General features: G+C 38.7%; 1 protein-coding gene across 1 annotated transcript in view, besides 3 other annotated features; it reads right to left on the bottom strand.

Moving 5' to 3' along the window:
• Nucleotides 1-15,197, bottom strand: part of STK38L (serine/threonine kinase 38 like) — an 81,674-nt gene extending 66,477 nt beyond the window's left edge. The window contains exon 1 of the mRNA NM_015000.4: nt 15,151-15,197. The gene's annotated coding sequence lies outside the window, so the exon portion shown is untranslated. The remainder of the gene's footprint in view (nt 1-15,150) is intronic.
• Nucleotides 13,789-13,838: an enhancer, noted in NCBI's record as "active region_6143". NCBI's record gives its function as "activates an Ori minimal core promoter by ATAC-STARR-seq in GM12878 lymphoblastoid cells {active_cell/tissue: GM12878}" and the evidence as "EXISTENCE:reporter gene assay evidence [ECO:0000049][PMID:35858748]".
• Nucleotides 15,129-15,368: a silencer, noted in NCBI's record as "silent region_4309". NCBI's record gives its function as "represses an Ori minimal core promoter by ATAC-STARR-seq in GM12878 lymphoblastoid cells {active_cell/tissue: GM12878}" and the evidence as "EXISTENCE:reporter gene assay evidence [ECO:0000049][PMID:35858748]".
• Nucleotides 16,427-16,486: an enhancer, noted in NCBI's record as "active region_6142". NCBI's record gives its function as "activates an Ori minimal core promoter by ATAC-STARR-seq in GM12878 lymphoblastoid cells {active_cell/tissue: GM12878}" and the evidence as "EXISTENCE:reporter gene assay evidence [ECO:0000049][PMID:35858748]".

Genomic DNA, 20,301 nt, shown 5'->3' with positions numbered 1-20,301 from the left:
CCTGCCTCTCTTCTCAGTCTAGGAGAACGACAGCAAAAAGTGGCGCGTTAGGATGAAAGAACTGATGCCCATGACACGTGAAGCGGCCATAAAAGACCTGCCCCCGACACACTGCAAATCTGACTTGACCAGTTGTCTACTGTGAGCCTGCATGGGAATTCTGCTGAATGCTATAACTCTTTAACAAGTCAGGAAGACCAAAGAGGTTAAGACAGGAGACAAAGTACTCCATCTTTCAGAGTGAGGAAAAAACACAAACATAACAAAAGAAAATGAACATGGCAAAAGATTAACTCTGTGTTTATCATTCAGCCGGAAGAAAATCCTAGATGATTATAAAACAGTTTCTGAATAGACAAAGATGGGCAATCACTGAGAATCAGTGTAGGTTCAGGAAGAACAAGTCTTGCCAAGTAACTTTATTTCTTTTGTTGGCAAAGCTATAAGACAAATCTATGTGATGCTCTGAAAGGTATTTAACAAGCTCCACTCTCCATTTCTTTCTGAGAGGAAGAGAGATGGGCTGAGTAACACATATACATAACCAATTAAATAACAAAACTCAGAATGCTCATAAATAAGTTCTGCAATATTCACTGGGCTTAGGCAATAGTGTTACCAATGATCTGGATAAAAGTTTTTCCAACATCCTTATCAAAATGTAGGTATGACCAGAGCCTGGAGAGAATAATGAAAAAAAGGAGAGCAGAGTCAGATCTAAAACAATTTTAACAGAATATTAACTGTAACAAATAAAATTTAATAGAGAAAATGTAAAGAATTATATTTGGGTTAAAAAAATCAAATGCTAAATACAAATTGTGAAAACTGTTGTATACATAAAAAAGCAACCAGGCCAGGCACGGGGGCTCACGCCTATAATCCCAGCATTTTGGGAGGCCGAGGCGGGCACATCACCTGAGGTCAGGAGTTCGAGACCAGCCTTGCCAACATGGTGAAACCCCATCTCTACTAAAAATACAAAAATTAGCTGGGCATGGAGGCAGGGGCCTGTAATCCCAGCTACTTGGGAGGCTGAGACAGGAGAATCACTTGAACCCAGGAGGTGGCAGTTAGTTGCAGTGAGCCGAGATCATGCCACTGCACTCTAGCCTGGGTGACAAAGTGAGACTCCATCTCAAAACACACACACAAAAAGGCAACTATCCCAGCACCTTGGGAAGCCAAAGCAGGAGAATTGCTTAAGCTCAGGAGTTCGAGAACAGCCTAGGCAATATAACGAAATCCTGTCTTTATTAAAATATTTTTTAAATTACATTTTTAAAGAAAGAACTAAAGAGTTTTTTCAAATAAAAGCTTGACATAGGCCGGGCATGGTGGCTTATGCCTGTAATCCTAACACTTTGGGAGGCAGAGGTGGGTGGATCACTTGAGGTCAGGAATTCGAGACCAGCCTAGCCAACATGGTAAAACCCCATCTAAAAATACAAAAATTAGCTGGGTGTGGTGGCACTCGCCTGTCATCCCAGCAACTTGGGAGGCTGAGGCAGGAGAATCACTTGAACCCGGGAGGCAGAAGTTGCAGTGAGCTAAGACTGTGCCACTGCACTCCAGCCTGGACAACACAGCAAGACTCCACTTAAAAAAAAAAAAAAAAGCTTGACATAAATTAAAGTGTGAAATGGCTGCCCCTAAAATTTATACAATCTTAATCTTGGGCTGAGTTGACACACACATATAAATAAAGTCATGCACAAGGAAGGTGAATGCCATACTCTACACTGTACTAGTTGGCTCATATCTGGAGAAATTATTCAATACTTAGTGATGCCCTATAGTCATACAAAGGGCAAAATAAATGTCCTCATAATTTGAAAATTAAGTCATCCTCTGGGAGTAACACCAGCCTGAATCAAATAGAGTGATGGAATTTAGCCATCACTGTAAGTAATTCCAAGAAAATGTGTGACTGAAAAGGGCCGGGGATACCCAAGTCTGGTCAAAAGTGAGTAGGTTATAGTTTCTGGGAGACAGGATTGGAATGTGAATTAAGAAAGCTGAAACCTTGTCAACTATGTTGACAGAAGGAGGTTATATTAATCTGAGGTAGTGGGGGCAGAGCAGGAGTTTAACAAGGAAGACTTTGCCTATGTGACCCCAACACTGTCTGAGGTGAAAGCACACTGACCATATCCCCAGAGCAGCGCTGGACAGCTGCATCCTTATAAAGACTCTCCATCAGGTTATCCTGACTTAGTGACACTCCCCATTAAGATTACCCATTTGATTACATGGGCTGGCTTCCCCTGTAGATTCTCCTATAGTGATGAGAGTGTGCTCACCAAACTATAAGCTTCTGTTCCACTCACAGTTATATTAATAAATTCACTAACTGGCATTCTTGGTTTTGTGTCAGTCTCTCCATCACTTGCTAACTATAAGTAAATTCCCGTAATTCTAGTGACTTCTGGAAAATGTTCAGAAAAATGTTCATAGCTAACGACCTAGGTAAGTGAGGTATATACCTTAAATATGACAATCCATATCCAGCTTCTATCCATCTGAGAAGCCCTATGTTCCTTTATGACAATTCTATTTGATGTAAAACGGAACCACATATTTTAAGAGAGAAAACAAAATAAAACACATGGAGGGGAGTGACCAGGAAGGCAAGAGGTCTGAAATCCATATTTGAACAAATTCAATGAAGATACTTAGCCTGAAAGAGAGATGTTAGATAGCCATCTTCAAATATTACTCTTGCAGTGACATAAAATTATCTCTAATTCTGAGATGAGAACCAGTTGAAAATTATATAAGGAAACACTTTCCAGTTAGCACTGTCCTATGCCTGGCACATAGCAAATGCTCATTAAGTTTTGACATATAGTAAATGCCCAACATTATTACCTCTTACTGTAGTTTGGATATTTAAAAAACATAAAAGAAATACATACTAGACACTGTCAGAAAGCCTAGGAGAGGTACCTAACCCTGCCAGAGGTAAGAGGTCAAGGCAGGCCTCCCTGAAAGAGATGCCTAAGCAGAATACCAAAGAAAGCACAGGAATTACCCAAGAAGTATAGGAAAGGGCATTCCAGAAAGTAGTGTGTGAGACCGAAGGTACAAGAAAGCTAGTGGTTCAGTGTGGTTGGAGAGGTGAGTAGGGGAGTGATGGAAGACAAGGCTGGAAAACTAAAAAGGAACTCATGTGTCACACTAAGGAGCCTGGAAGAGGCCATGGGGAGTCACTAGAAATTTTAAGGATGAAAGTTACATAATGAGATTCAAGTTTAGGACAGTCATTGTGGCAGCCACATGGAAGACAGACTGAAAGAAGGCAAGACTGGTAGCAGGGAAAGATGGCTAGTTCAATCACTGGGCACCTGAATGAATATTCTGGCACTGGAGGAAGAGCAAAGGCAGAGTTCAAGACATAGTTAAGGAAGACCTAAAAAATGACTAGATGTCAGTCATAAACAAGGAGGACGAGTCAAGGGTGATTTCCAGGTTTACAGCTTAAGAACCAAATAGAGAACAACGCCATGCACTGGGAAAGCTAAGGAGCACAAGAATGGCTCTGTGAAGGGAGAAGATAAAGTCAGCTCTGGGTGAGCAGAATCCAAGTTATCCATGGAACACACCAAAGGTGGTGATATCTAGAAGACAGATGGACAATGGGGTCTTAAGATCAGGACGGGGACCTGAGCAAGATATACCGGTTTGGAAGTCATCATTGCAGAGAAGTTATTGAAGATATCACAGCATATGAGATCACCCACACTCACAGTGCAGGGAGTGAGAAGAGGATTGGGGACAAAAGAGCACATTAACCATTTAAGGGAATGAAAGTTAGCTATCTTATGATCTGTTAAGTTCCTTGTCTTTAGGCAAGGAACTTAAATATTTAGGCAAAGACTAAACATCCACTTGTTGGAGATGATGTACAGGGAATTCACAACAGAGTTGGACTAGATGACCTCTAAAGCATCTTTCAACTCTGAAAATCAATCAAAAACTTCAAGACAGTATTTCTTACAATCTGAGAAATAACTTTTCACCACTATTACAGAAAAGCTAAAATCTTAAGTATTTTTGTTTTTGGCTTTGTCAGTCCAATATCTTGTGTAAGTTCTAAAAAATAAATTTTTTGTTGTTTGATAATGTTTTCTGAAAGGGAGAGAGTACTTGGTTTACTTGTACAGAAAAGCACAGGCTCTAATTTCTTAGCCCTATTTTTCCTTCTGTGGGTCCAGTTACACTCTTGGTTAGTATGAAAATGCAGTTTTACTACGGTAAAAATTCAAACACATGTTCCCAGCTATTCATCCCTTTACTTTCTGCCACCTTGTGCCTGAATTGGGCTATACAATGGGGCTAATCTATGGATTTAGATCTTAAAGCTTTAACTACATTTCAGAAATGTGCTTATAATTTTCATTGATATTTAAAGTATGTTGATTTCTGTCTCCTTTTCTGCTCAATTCTAAAAATAAAGAGACACTGGTCCATATACAATTTTAAAAATTAAATCCAGAAATGTTTGATTAAAAGAAACTGCCATTTTTGGCATAAAAATACAACCAGAGTATTTTCAGACAGGACTGCTGGGAGTTCAACTTAATCCTTAAATATGGCACTGGTCCTACCAAGTGGTACCTGGAAGAGGTGTGGAGGTACTTGATCTCTTTTAACCATATGTACTTTTTCTCCCGCCCCCTCTCTGTGCCTCCCCTACCACCCCACAAGCCCGCTTTTCCTCCTTCTGTTCCTTTCACTTTCCTCCTGAGAGTGCCCATGATCTTTTAGTATTACCAGTAATGGCACTAAAGCCAAAACAGCTGCCAACCGCTGGCCTAGAAATACAATGGATATAATTTGAATTAGAGACTACCATTAACTTTTTGGTTGTCCTTAGAAAACAACTTTATATTCTGTTTCAGTGGTCCAATCCAAAGGACAGAAAAAAAAATAACCACTGTAGAAAGTAAATCTATGTAAAAAAGAAATCTGTAGTGCTTTTTATCTCTAGCAATCTAACGTAGATTATACATACAAAGTTTATAATAACGATTTGCACATACAGGTCTCTGAATGACCAAACAAGGATAGAGGAGGACCAGAGATGATGTTTGACACCATCTGAAGTTTAGGGTCATGTTAGTTATTAAACTGTGTTATTTTTAAAAAATAATAAGGCTTAGAGTAGAGAGGAGAAAAGAATCAAGGCTAGAACTAGAATAAAAGGACTTCATTATTAGGTATTACAGTCTTGGGAAATGTTTAAGAGTTCCATAAAACCCTATGGGAAAGGTAAATAATCATGTTCCTACCACAATCCCCTCCCTCAAGTCAGGTGCTCTTGAAGCTGTGCTTTGATGCAGCATTCTCTTTATACAACAACCTCGGTGGTTCTAGGCTTCATCAAAGAAAAGGATTTTAGTGGATTTACTTTTCTCTTTATCTCTCTGGCTGATGGTATCTTTACTTTTTCTGTTTAATTTCACAAAATGGAAGCAAGAGACAATTTATCACCAGCACTGCACTCCAGGTTGGGAGTGAGAAGCACAGAAGAGGTGCTTCCAAGAGGCTACTAGAGGCAACAGAAACACTTTCTTACAAAAGCTCAGAGTGCTAAAGCTGGATAAACATAAATAGACAGCAAATAAAAGTTCATTGCTCCTGTCCAGCATCACGGCAACAATTCCGGTTCCTGTGGCCCCCTAATATGCTTCGTGTCTTACATCACTATGTGATAATACCCGCCTGAGGCTTCTCGGCCTGAAACACTCCTCCTCACCCTTCAAGTCTAAGCTCAAACACTCACACATCCTTGGAAAGCTTCTCTCACTATCCCAAGTAGGTGCCCCTCTCCCTTAGGTGTGCCTCTCACTGCTCTTTCATGACAGCTGCTATGCCTGATTGCAGCTATTTCTACCCCTGTGAATGTAGCTCTCCAGTCACCTGCCCAGCTTCTGAGGGAGCACCATGTCTTTCCCTTTCCATATCTCCTGGCACACGGTATGTACTTTATGTACAATTCACAGTGAAAGAACTGCCTAGGTTCTTTCACTAGAGAGACCCATCCATGCAAGTCTCTCCTTCCCAATCTCACCTAGTTTAGAACTTCATTATTATCACCTAGATTATTTGTCTCTTCACTGGTCTTCCCATTTCTGGACTCTCTTTCCTTGAATTCACTCCATATACACTACTGCCACTTACAACTCTAAGTAATTAATGTACCAAGTTGAACAGGTGGTGAAGTAGAGAATGAAAAGCTGGAAAACATCAATTCTCTAAGTTCAAAGGGTTCAAATCCAACAGAGCAGAAAGAGAAGTAGATAATTAACAGAACTTACCAGGTGCTGTACAGATACACCCAATTTATGCTAATCCCTCTGCGTGGCATGTCCTTCACTCTGAAATGCTCAATTCATATTTCACTTCATATAGGAAGCTTTCCTAATCTCTACAGCCAGAAGCAATCTCTCTTTCCTCTGCTCCCACAGTACCCTGTTACTCCGTTGTCACTTTCTGTTTGAATTACAGTCATTTGTACCCATACATTATACCTCTTACTGGACTGAACTTTTCTAAATGGAGGGCCAAACATCTATTTGTCTCTATTTTGCCATGGTACCTAACACAGTGCCCTGCAAATAGCTGATAAATAATGAATTATGATGATTAACCTCACTAAAATATTATGAGTCTGTGATTCCTTTAGGATTTGCCAGTATCAAGAATATCAATGGGTCATATACATGCAATTCAGTACTAAAATTTTCCACTCTAGCCACAAAAATAGAAAAAGTCTATTCTGTTTGTCTAGATAAGAGTCGACATATGGAGAACATCCTCAACCAGATCTGAAAATGTTCAAATGAAATGGATCGCTGTTGTGAAAAACACAACAAAGGGCAACTCCCTAGTACTACAATAAACTGAGCAACCAGCCTCTGCTGCCAAATACAGAAAAGTCGTAAGGGGCAAACACGGTGTGGTATTTCCACAATGGGAGCAGGTCAGTGGGTAGACACTTAACTAAGTAAAAATGAACACTGCTAGTAAAAATTAATTTAATAAAACAGACACTAGTACAAGATAGTATGTCAAAAATGGATCATTGAATAAGCTGTCTGAGCTCTCAAACATTATCACTTTCCAGAAGTGAATACTACTTGCAGCTTATCCATTCTTTTAAGGATCATATTCAATTTTCTACAAAAGTGCTTTTGTAGGCCGGGCATGGTGGCTCATGCCTGTAATCCCAGCACTTTGGGAGGCCGAGGCAGGCGGATCACGAGGTCAGGAGATTGAGACCATCCTGGCTAACACGGTGAAACCCCATCTCTACTAAAAATACAAAAAATTAGCCAGGTGTGGTGGCAGGCACCTGTAGTCCCAGCTACTCGGGAGGCTGAGGCAGGAGAATGGCGTGAACCCGGGAGGCAGAGCTTGCAGTGAGCTGAGATCGCGCCACTGCACTCCAGCCTGGGTGACACAGCGAGACTCCGTCTCAAAAAAAAAAGTGCTACTGTAAGATACCTCAGCAAGCCCTTGTTAGGATTCCCAATTCCTTAATTTCACTGTTTATGTCTGTCCTCCCTTCACCCTATTCCTTTATCATAATTGTTTTAGTTAGAATGTAAGCAATTGAGTGCACAATGAGATAGACAATAACTTAAGAATTAAGGACTTTAACATTTCATGATTTAAAATGCAGAACTAAAATTCCAGGTTCTCAATTCTCACAAAACAAAACAAAGCTCAAGGCTTAAAACTTTAGAAAATGCCATGCTATAATGATATTTACCCACTCCTAATTGGCTTAAATGAAGTCAGAACATTTGATTATATCATTTATTTCAGCACTGTAATTGCTAAGGGCAAAAACCTTGTCTCATCAACTAATTTTGTAGAGGCCTTAGTGAACGATTTGCTTGTAGCAGCTTTTACTCTACAAGGAAGACCAGTGTGTTAAATAAAGTGTTTATATTAGAGTCGAAAGACCTAAGTTTAAATTCAGGCTCTGTCTCTTATTTTGAGATCTCAGACAAGTCACTTTAATCTGAGTTCCTCTCTTTACCTGAAAATAGGTGTAATAGCCATAACCCTCACTGCCTAGACCACATGACTGCTATGAGGATTAAGTAAGGAAATGTGTAAAAACGCTTCATAAAACTATAAAGTGTAATACAAATATAAGGGCTCCTGGTATTATTCTTAAAATAAGTGCTAAGAGTAAATCCCTGTCTATAAGAAATCAGAATACAATTGAATTATTTCTGCATACTTTTCCCAAGAGAATTTATGTCTGACATGCAAAACTGTAAATAACTCCTAAAGGGGAAATTACCAAAAAAGGAAGGGAAAAAAGAGAAGAAAGAAAACTTGGGGTGGGACTAGAAGAGGGAGGTAAATTAAAGAGAAAAGGAGAAGTTTTTGTAGTAAAATAATGCAATGTAAGAGAGAGCAAACCTGATCTGAAGAAGCAATTTCTTTTTTTTTTTTTTTTTTTTGAGACAGAGTCTCACTGTCACCCAGGCTGGGCTACAGTGAAGTGGTCTCAGCTCACTGCAAGCTCCACCTCCCGGGTTGACGCCATTCTCCTGCCTCAGCCTCCTGAGCAGCTGGGACTACAGGTGCCCGCCACCACGCCCGGCTATTTTTTTTATTTTTAGTAGAGACGAGGTTTGGCCATGTTAGCCAGGATGGTCTCAATCTCCTGACCTCGTGATCTGCCCACCTCGGCCTCCCAAAGTGCTGGGATTACAGGCGTGAGTCACCGCGCCCGGCCTGAAGGAGCAATTTCTAACTCTACCACTTACTATCTACCTGTGTGTCCCTGGGCAAGTCACTTCACCTCTCTAAGCTCCAATTTCCTCATTTGTAGGTAGAGATAATAACTCACAAGATTGCTATAAGGATTAAATGAGATAATATATATAAAGTACTTAGCACTATGTCTGGTGCATAGTAAGGGATAAGTGGTTACTGGCATTGATAAAATTATCAGACCTGTGCCCTAATGGGTGACATTCAGAAAGAAAAAGGAATCAAGAACATTTAAGAGGGAAAGATGATGTTCAGGGAGCTAAATCTATATATTACCACTGGGAGACAAACTTTGAGAAATATAAATTACACAAAGTATGCTTCATATTAAATGTTCAGATTACTTACTGTGTCTCTTGAATTGGTGAGGAATCAAGAGAAATGCAGTCAAAATCTCCAGATCATAAAAGCAGAATAGCAATAACCGTATTCATAAAAGCAGAATAGCAATAACCGTATTCATAAAAGCAGAATAGCAATGGGAGAACTTGGCCCCCTGAAAAGTAGGCATTAATGTGTGCAGAAGCTTCTCTGTCCCAAACTCAATTTTCTAAACTTTCACAGACAGAATGAAAGCTAGACTCCATAGCAAAGGTACAGCAACCCCGAATGCCTGGGTTAGCTATCATGCCCTCATGTTAGTTTCTGCCATCTTGTTCTTTATTCTGGGTGTATCTGTAGCTGATTTGAGGTGTTAAACATTATTAACTCCACCCTATTCAGGAACTGCAAAAGCAGTAAAAGTGTCCCAGGAATCAGGAAAACGAGGAATAAAATCTCCTGAATCAGCTGGAGAGATAGTAAATAACTCAAAGAGGTAAGAAAACAATGGATGCTATCTGTGCATACGGGATCAGAGATTTATCTATTATAACATGTAGAAATTCTATACCTGTGGAATCAACGAGAATCAGCAAAAGGCAAGGAAAACAGGAAGCCTTCTGTATAAATGGCCAGAGAATCAACAATTTGGGTTACCAACTGATCTGGTGTTAATTAAGGGGAAGGTAAAGAGCTTGTTAAGAATTTAAAAGCTAAGCATAGGCCAGGCGCAGTGGCTCACGCCTGTAATCCCAGCACTTTGGGAGGCCGAGGCGGGCGGATCACCTGAGGTCGGGAGTTCGAGACCAGCCTGACCAACATGGTGAAACCCCATCTCTACTAAAAATACAAAACTTAGCCAGGCATGGTGGTGCGTGCCTGTAATCCCAGATATTTGGGAGGCTGAGGCAAGAGAATCACTTGAACCCAGGAGGCGGGGGTTGCAGTGAACCAAAATCATGCATTGCGCTCCAGCCTTGGCAACAAGAGTGAAACTCTGTCTCAAAAATAAATAAATAAATAAATAAAAGCTAAGCATAGTAGAAGTGTTATCACATACCACAGACAATTGCCAAGGCTCCAGGCCTGTTTGGAATTTATACAATATGACTGTGAATGATCAGGTCACCACATGACCTGTAACTGTTAAGGTCTTCCCTAAGATCTGTGCAGAGCTCATCTAAGAGGCAGGCTACCTGCCTCAGCAGACGTTCAATGCAGATAAGCTGTTCCTGGTGGGAAAAGATGCCCCCAAAACTTGAATCAGCAAGGAGGTAACAGTATGACTGGTTTTCTTTTGATAGACCTACTCACACACCTTTTTACTAAGACAATCTTCCCAAACCACCTGTACTTAGAAGAACTTGGAAACTTTTTATAACAAAGCGAAGTCCACATCTAAGTATCTCCATGAAATGATGGGCTAAAGATCTGCCAATCAGGGCATGGTAAATGGAAATGATATACCATCACTATTAATTTAAGGTATGTTTCAAAAAAAAACTTTTTAAAATTTGTTTTGCCATCTCTGTCTTATTTCAATAATATAAACACACGTGCTTTAAATCCTGGCTTTAGTTCTGCTACTCTTCCCATTAGGTTTTAAGCTCATCAACCATCAACTGTCCTAGTATAGGTGTCTTCTAGAACCTACCCCATTGAGTCAAGTGGAGAATACTTATATTCGTTCACAGAGACTATGACTCTGGAGCTGTACTTAAACTATGAGTACGGTCAACTGCAGGCACTGACAAAGAAGCTGAAGAGTCTGGATCCTGCTGGACAGTTAGGAAAAGGCAGGCAATACCTCTCCCACCGCTCACCTGCTGTATTCCCTGCCTAGGTATACTTTTTTTCTAACCTTTAAATCCAATTGAATTTGTGATTCCAATTCTTAAACAATAACAAATGTGGACTATTCCTGAAACTTCATAAATAAAATCAGGTGGACATTTACAGTACTGAGTAGGCCTATACAAGACACTGTGCACTTCTATAGCACCCTTTATTTCACAAACCCAAAGAACTGTCAAAGTTGCCCCAACATAAAGTATCAGTGATGGAACTTCTCTCATTTTTACATGTACAACACTCTATTCACCCTGTTTCTGCCATTATAAGCATAGCTATTCATGAAAATAAACTAAAAGGGCTGAGACCAACATTCAATCATTAACTAAATTTCAACTTCATAATTCAACCCAAAAACTATCCAGTGCCAAGTGGTTTAAAAAATTATAGAACAGGGCTGGGCACATTGGCTCACACCTGTAATCCCAACATTTGGGAGGCCAAGGCAGGAGGATCACTTGAGCCAAGGAGTTCGAGACCAGGCTGGGCAACATAGTGAAACCCTGTCTCTACAAAAAATTTAAAAATCAGTCGGGCGTGCTTGTGCACACCTGTAGTCCGAGCTACTCAGGAGGCTGAGGTGGGAGGATCGCTTGAGCCTGAGAGGCAGAGGTTGCAATGAGCCATGATTGCACTACTGCACTCCAGCCTAAAAGACAGACTTAAACTCTGTCAAAAAAAAAAAAAAAAAAAATTACAGAACAAAGCCAAACACAGTGGCTCAGGCCTATAGTTCCTGCAACTTAGGAGGCAAGAAGATCATCTGAGCCCAGAAGTTCGAGTCCAGGCTGGGCAAGACAGTGAGGTTCTTTCTTTAAAAAAAATAAATTACAGGACAAAATATACAAAGACGCAAACATTCCATTAAGCAAAAGAGTTAATATGGAATAACTTCTCACTTCTAAGTTCTTATGAGTACTTATAGGTAATAAGTCAAAATTATTAAAAAGTCCCACTCAATAGTTATATTTAATCTGCACCAAGAATAACTTCCAAAAATGGATTAAAATAACATGTCAAAAATAACTCATTTACTTGGGTGTTATTTTGGAACTCTTTCTAGAAAACTGACCCCAAAATTTAGATGTCAGAAGAATGTATTTCCCAAGTCAAGTTTTTGAAACTACAGATCTGAGGAAGACCATCATGAACAGGAGAGAAAATATGGATTGCAGTTAAGCATGCCATATGGGTACAAGCCAGAATGCCTGGGTCAGAATCCTGGTCCTACCACTCAATAGCTATCTAACCTTAGTACCACAGTTACTTCATCTGCAAAACGGGAATAATAAAAATACCTACTCCATACAGTTGTTGTGAGGATTAAAGCCAGGCAAGTAAGTAATATATGTAAAGGATTTAGCAGGAAGCAGCATTATATAAAGTATTTACTTATCATCATTATCATATGACTAGATCACTTAAATCATCCACAGAAACGCCTTTTCCTATTTCAGTCTTCCTTAATTGGTCTAGCAGCACTTAATCCCTCCCTCCTTGGCTTCCTCATAAAACACATTTTCTATGGTATTTATTTGGGTAGGTATATTTCTCTCCCACTGGATCACATCTCCTTGAAGACAGCAACCACAGTTCGTCCGAGTGTACAGAGTAGCAACCACAGTTCGTCCGAGTGTACAGAGCAGCAAACACTGTTCACTGTTGCCTTTCATTTCTCTCCCTCTAAAGATTCTGAACAATAATACCCTGTCAATTAGCAAACTTTTACCTGGAGACAGAAGGCTTATGCAACCAGTGCACTTAAGTACTGGTCATACCTTGCTAAAGACTTTCTTAAGACTTAAACAAAAATTTTGGGGGGAAGAAGAGGAGGATATGCTTCATGTTTATAAACTAACCAAAGACAGATTTTTAATTTTTTAAAAAAGTTATGTCTTAAAAGCTTGCTTTCATTATTTCATTCAAAAAGACCATGGTGCTTTTAATATAAAAATACAGAAGCATAATTTCTGCATATGTCAAGTCTAACCTAATCATAACTTGCCAATCTGCTGATTTTAATGTAATCCTAAGGATGCTAGACAACAATATGCTTGCTTGATTCACCTGACACTATTTACATAAAATAAAAGCATTTTAACAATACATCGAGATGCAAATCTTTCTGGCTCTGATTTGTGCCCTTTCTCCCTCTTAACAAAAAGTGCCACACACACACAAAAGAGCCTCCAACTTATCCTGGATCACTGGGGAGGCACTTTCTAAGGTGCGTTATCCAATTTCACTAACACAATGATGCTCTCCTTACTTTAAGAGAACAGAACTTTTCTGAAAGCAAACAGCTGAACTGAGTCCATTGCTTTGTTATCATTTTTTAGGAAGTCCAATTTCTCCTTTGTTCTTACAGTGTCCTACCTTTAGAAATCAAGTTTTCAGCATAAAAACTAACAAGGACATCTATTTGTTGGCACAAATCATCTCAGTCTCCATTCTTTGACTTATTTTAAAACAAACTCAAGAGCAAATGGCTAGAGAAAAACTGCTTCTATTTAATGTGTGTTTTCTAAGTCTAATTTTTTCATTCCTAGTGGCAAGGCCTTTCAAAAGAGTACAAAAACTACACCCAACTTTGCTTCTCATTCTAAACACATCACAACCAAATGGGAAACATTATCAGCCATCTTAACAAGGAGAAAACAAAGCTAAGTGAGGTCAAACCAAAACATTTTTTAATTCATTGTACCTACCTATTTTGAGATCAGGATTTTTCAGATGGAAGTAGTTTGATGAACTTATGCAATAAAATTATGTAATATCATAATTTAACATAATATTTTAGACTAACTTCTCTCTCCTCAAATAGTCACAAGGGTGGCTAATTCACATACAATACCTCTCAGCCACTGGGGAGAGAGTATAATAAACTTAATTGTTTTACATATCCTGAGGCACAGAGAGAAAGGCCAATCAAATTCAAAGAGGTTTACAGTACCTTATATACATATATGATTGAGACAAAGAACTTTCAAGAATCTGTACTGAGGAAGCAAAAATGGGCTTAAGTACAATAGGCCCTGCCTTAAAGTAGAGAGACCGGTCAAACGTAAGCCCCAGCGCCAAAAAAGACAAGGTCTCACTCATCAATCCCCATCTTACAATCAAGAGGCAGAACTTAAATCACTTAAAGCTGTTTTTTCAGATTTGAGCAGTAAAATAAGCTAATAGGCCATTTCCGATTAAGTGGCTTCTCTCAAAACTTATCACAAGTTATGTGAAATGGGTAAAAGTGTTGGTTCTGCATTTTATCAAGTGAGAAACAATAGCATCCTACTTTTGGACAAGCCACTACTTCCAGAGCCACTAGCCCTCCCCCCACCTCCCACTTCTTTTTATATCATTCCTCCAAACTTAGAACCCGAAAAGCTATTCCACAAAACAAAAGCAGCACCAGTAAAAGGGGAGGCCACTGGTTTTGAAAATAAAGTTTGTTCTTTTGCTGTCAACCTGGCAACTTTTTAAAGGTGAAACGTGCCCTACTCAATCGGTTATACTCTTTTCTACTCCCACACCAAATAACCACTCGTTCGACCTCGATACTAAAGGTGAAAAAAGGAGTGGGAGAAATGATTTTGAAAGGAAGGGGCTACGGGTGCAATGGTAAAGACAGATTCTAAGACTGGTTTTGAGCACTCCGTGGCTTCTAGGAGCTGGGAGGCTTTCCTGAGTCTGTCTTGAGAAATGTTTGGCAATCTGACGCATCAGTTTTTAGGAACGGTACACAAACAGCCCCCACAATTGAAGAGCCATGCTTCGGATCCTGGCTCTGGGTGACATCGGCTGGAGGGCACGGGACGGGAGCGCTGGGGCTACCCGGAGAGGATCCGCGACATTTGTTATTGTTTGTGAAGCCCAGGCGGGGACCCGGAGCGGAGTGCTCGGGGGCCGGGGAGTGGAAGGAGAAAGGAGCAGAGGACAAAGATTCCTCCCCGGGTGCGAGGCTCCCTCTCTGGACACATGGGGCCAGTATCACCCCGGGGAATAAGAGGGCCAAGGCCGTCGCCGCAGGTTCCCCGGAGACATTTCCAGCCCCAGAATTAGCCCGGCTTTCCCTGGACACCCAAAGACACCTAAAATCTCCTCCTGCTCCTGCTCGCAGAGTTGGGGCTGGCGCGGCGAGCTCGGGCCCTCAGCCGAGCGCTACATCCGCGAACTCACCTGCCTCCGGTCGCGCCCGCGGCCGGCTCAGCCTCCGCACGGACCGCAGCCGGCCGGGCGCCCGTCAGCTCCCTTCTCCCCGCTCCGCCCTCGCCCCGCCCCCGGGAGGTGGGACCCGCGGCCTCGCCGGAATCTCAGGGCGGCCTCCCTGAACTCTCGCGAGCCTTGCCTCCTCGGCTTCTCGGTGGCTGGGTCGGTCCGACTCGCCCTGACGTCATACGCACCACAGCCGGAAGTAGCCTTCTGTCGTCAACGCCCGTCTTCCCGGCCCCACCCATCTCCGCCTGGTGAAGGCCAGACTGGTTTTGAGGGAGTTGACTGAACTGTCGCCACTTCCCCTCTCACCAGCCTCACCTCACTGCCGTTTTTACGCCAAACCTGTTCAGGCCTCTCTTGAGAGTGGCCTAATGTGTTGCGACATTAGTCACATTCTAAATGTCATCCGAATTTTTCAAACAGTGCAATGCAAAGAATGTTAGAAATGGAAAGAGAGAATTCACGCATTTTTCAGATTGGGAAACAGTTGTCAACAAAGATGGATCAGCTAAGTTGCTCAGTCGGTAGCTGTGGGGACTCGAAGCCACCCAGGTTCCTTGACGCTTCCATTTCACCATGAGGGGACTCCAGAGACTGGAGAGGAACCAGGATTTGTAAATGCCACAAAAAATACATTAAAAACCTGTTTGAGTTTTCTTGGAAAATCTAAAATAACTACAGTACTGGCCTGCTTTATCAGTAGGATCTGAGAATTGTGCAGAAGAGCACTCCCCTATAGGATGACCCAAAAGGGACAACTTTGGGAAGGTTGATGCAATTTGCGTCTGGGGACAAAACTGGCCTTTGGGAAAGCCAAATGAGAGAATGACTCCCAATTATTGTTGGCAAGTTTATCCTCAATATGAGTATTGGAGGTCTTATAAAATATTCTTAGCTTTTAGCTTACTGAGACAACGTATGAAGCTGGTACTGTGCTTGCAAAAACTATCACTTAGAAATGCCACCTGTCATCTTTAGGTTTCCCAAGAGCAGGTGACACGAGCAAAACACCTAGGAAAGAAGCATTACCTCATTTCTCTTTCTTACACTGTGCTTTTTCATACATAGCTTAGTAGTGGGAAAAGCTCTAGTTTGGTAATTAGTGTATTTTTGGGGAGATCAGCTCCACTTATATGGTCATTTTGAAACTCAAATGACAGTTGTCATATACAAGCATAGGAGGTTTAATTGTGATCAGACAAGCTTGACAGGCCTATACACCCTTCTCCCTGTACTGCACGCATACACATACCATTCAAATGCTACGATAAGATTGAGAACAGTGTATGGTTTGTTCCACAGCAAATTTATGTCTTCAAATGTGCCATACTAGAGTAATATGAACTAGTATAGAGTAGCAGTCTAGGTTAATATGGGATAGCCTAAGACTTTGACCTCTAGTTCCTAAATTCTCCTAAATTGAGACCATTGTAAACAAATTTCCCTGGGAAGTTGTTGAAAGTACCTCAACTGAAACAAATTAGAGCTATGAACCAGAATTTTGGTGGTCTATGGACCCCTTTTCAAAACAGTGTTCTTAAATGCATAAACTACCTAGGGTTACAAAGGAAATTGATAATGTTAACATACAGTTACCAAAATACTAAAAAGTGAGTTTGTAATATAATTATGTGGTAAGTAGTAGTAGCATCTAAGATGGCTGCCAATGATCCACGCCTTCTAGTATTCCTGCCTTCTGTAATTCCCTTCTCTAGTAACTTAGTTCTTAAAAAGGAAATATAGCAAAAGTGATTAGGATATCATTTCCGTGATTAGGTTACAAAAATATTCTGGGCTCCATCTTGCTTGTCCTTGCTCTCTCACTTGCTCGCTTTCATGGAAGCCAGCTGCTGTCTTGTGACCTGCCTTACAGAGAAGCCCACATGGCAAGGAACTGAGAGAGATCCAGTCAACAGCCACCAAGGAATTCAGGCCCCCAGTCCAACAACCTGTGATGAACTGAATACTGCCAATAATCATGTAAGTAAGCTTGGAAGTAGATTCTTTCCCAGTTGAGCCTTGAGATGACTGCAGCCCCACCTGACACCTAGACTGCAGCCTTGTAAAACCAGATACTGAGCCAGCAGGCCCAACTAGCCAAGCCCAGATTTCTGGCCCACAGAAACTGTGAGACAATAAATATTTGTGGTTTTAAGCCACTAACTTTTGGGATACTATGTTACACTGCCATAGATAACTAAAATAGTTATATATTTGCCTCTTTATTAATGCATTAAATAATAAGATCAAGACCTACAGTAATTTTGTAGTAATGATACACAGAAACAATATTTTGAGATATCTACAACAACTTTAATGGGGTAGAAAATATGTGTGATTCCTATTGAGGAAAAGTCACAGGTATTGCTAATATTCCTGTGGTTTGCTGCCTACATTCATGATGGAAGAAATGCTAATTTTCAGTTTGAGTTTAGTGAAAAAATTACATAATATGTAATATATATAACTATATAACTATACATAGTCATATATGTAATATATAACTATATGACTATACATAGTCATATATGTAATATATATAACTATATGACTATACATAGTCATATATGTAATATATATAACTATACATAGTCATATATGTAATATATATAACTATACAGAGTCATATATGTAATATATATAACTATACAGAGTCATATATGTAATATATATAACTATACAGAGTCATATATGTAATATATATAACTATACAGAGTCATATATGTAATATATAACTATACAGAGTCATATATGTAATATATATAACTATACAGAGTCATATATGTAATATATATAACTATACAGAGTCATATATGTAATATATATAACTATACAGAGTCATATATGTAATATATATAACTATACAGAGTCATATATGTAATATATATAACTATACAGAGTCATATATGTAATATATATAACTATACAGAGTCATATATGTAATATATATAACTATACAGAGTCATATATGTAATATATAACTATACAGAGTCATATATGTAATATATATAACTATACAGAGTCATATATGTAATATATATAACTATACAGAGTCATATATGTAATATATATAACTATACAGAGTCATATATGTAATATATATAACTATACAGAGTCATATATGTAATATATATAACTATACAGAGTCATATATGTAATATATATAACTATACAGAGTCATATATGTAATATATATAACTATACAGAGTCATATATGTAATATATATAACTATACAGAGTCATATATGTAATATATATAACTATACATAGTCATATATGTAATATATATAACTATACAGTCATATATGTAATATATATAACTATACATAGTCATATATGTAATATATATAACTATACATAGTCATATATGTAATATATATAACTATACATAGTCATATATGTAATATATATAACTATACAACTATACATAGTGATATATGTAATATATATAACTATACAACTATACATAGTGATATATGTAATATATATAACTATACAACTATACATAGTCATATATGTAATATATATAACTATACAACTATACATAGTCATATATGTAATATATATAACTATACAACTATACATAGTCATATATGTAATATATATAACTATACAACTATACATAGTCATATATGTAATATATATAACTATACAACTATACATAGTCATATATGTAATATATATAACTATACAACTATACATAGTCATATATGTAATATATATAACTATACAACTATACATAGTCATATATGTAATATATATAACTATACAACTATACATAGTCATATATGTAATATATATAACTATACAACTATACATAGTCATATATGTAATATATATAACTATACAACTATACATAGTCATATATGTAATATATATAACTATATAACTATACATAGTTATATATGTAATATATATATGGTTTTTGCATTGAGGTTCACAGACCCAGGTTAAGAACCATTGACCTAAGTAATAGATCATTTGAAGGAACTTCCAAAACTCTTATCACCAACTATCTGATACAGAATCAAAGTTCAGGTAATAAACATACACTGTGGCCACTACTAACCTTATTAGACTATAGCTGAATATGACTTTGTATCCCCTTCCTCCACATATTCCCTCTTCTTCAAGTTTATGCTAAATGTAGGCAGACAGGCTAAAATTGTAGGCCAGAAAGGATGAGAAAAATCATGATGAAAACCTTTTCAGCACTCAATTTATCTGATTTTTGTTTTTGCCATGTGAAAGTGGTAGCTCCTTGATCGGAAGAACTCTTTGATATTACTTTTACTCTCTTAGGCCTACCACATAGTAAATAAAGAATGAATGCCAAATGGCAGTAGTAAATAATAATAGAAGGAAAGCTATTGATAAAACCCTTCTACCAAATGAATAAAGCAACTTTTCCATCTATGCAATTTTGCAACTGTGAGATATACCCAAAGCAGTATTTAGAGGGCTAATTTATTGTTTTAAATGCACTTCACAGAAAACACAAAAATGAAAACAAATGAACAAAGCTTTCAACTCAGGAAACCTGAAAGAGAAAACAAAATAAATTCAAAGGAAGAAGAAGGATATAAAACTTAGAGCAGAAGCCCCTCCATGACCCTTATGTCCACCAAGGAATGTAAATCAAATATATAATCATTCCCATATATACCTCTGTTTTTCAAATGTATGTAAATTCTGTTATGATTAATAATTTCAAATATAATTTTAAACATAAAGGCAGAAATTAAATTAGTTAATTTAGAAATTAATTTTTTTGAAAAAAAAAATGACTGAAATTGACAATAACCAAAAACTGATTCTTTGGAAAAGTAAAGGAAATAGGAAACAGCTTGACAAGATTAATCCAGGGAAAACAAAAAGACACAAACAGTAACAATGATAATGGAGATGCAACTACAGATACGGAGATTTTAAAGAGCATAAAAGTTTATGATATGCAGTGTTACGCCAATAGATTTAAAAAGGAGAGAGAATAGGTGCTTTTTAGTTCTCCTGGAAGTCTGTCCTGATGAAAACCTAGTAAGGTTTTTACCTTGGAAAAAAATTGAAAGTTTACAAGATTTTTTAAAAAACTGAATGGGCCTTTCCAGTTTGAGA

Source organism: Homo sapiens, chromosome 12, assembly GCF_000001405.40.
Source record: "Homo sapiens chromosome 12, GRCh38.p14 Primary Assembly".
Lineage (NCBI taxonomy): Eukaryota > Metazoa > Chordata > Mammalia > Primates > Hominidae > Homo > Homo sapiens.
Note: the sequence above shows the minus strand (reverse complement) of the source record. Positions and strands in the feature narration are given on the sequence as shown.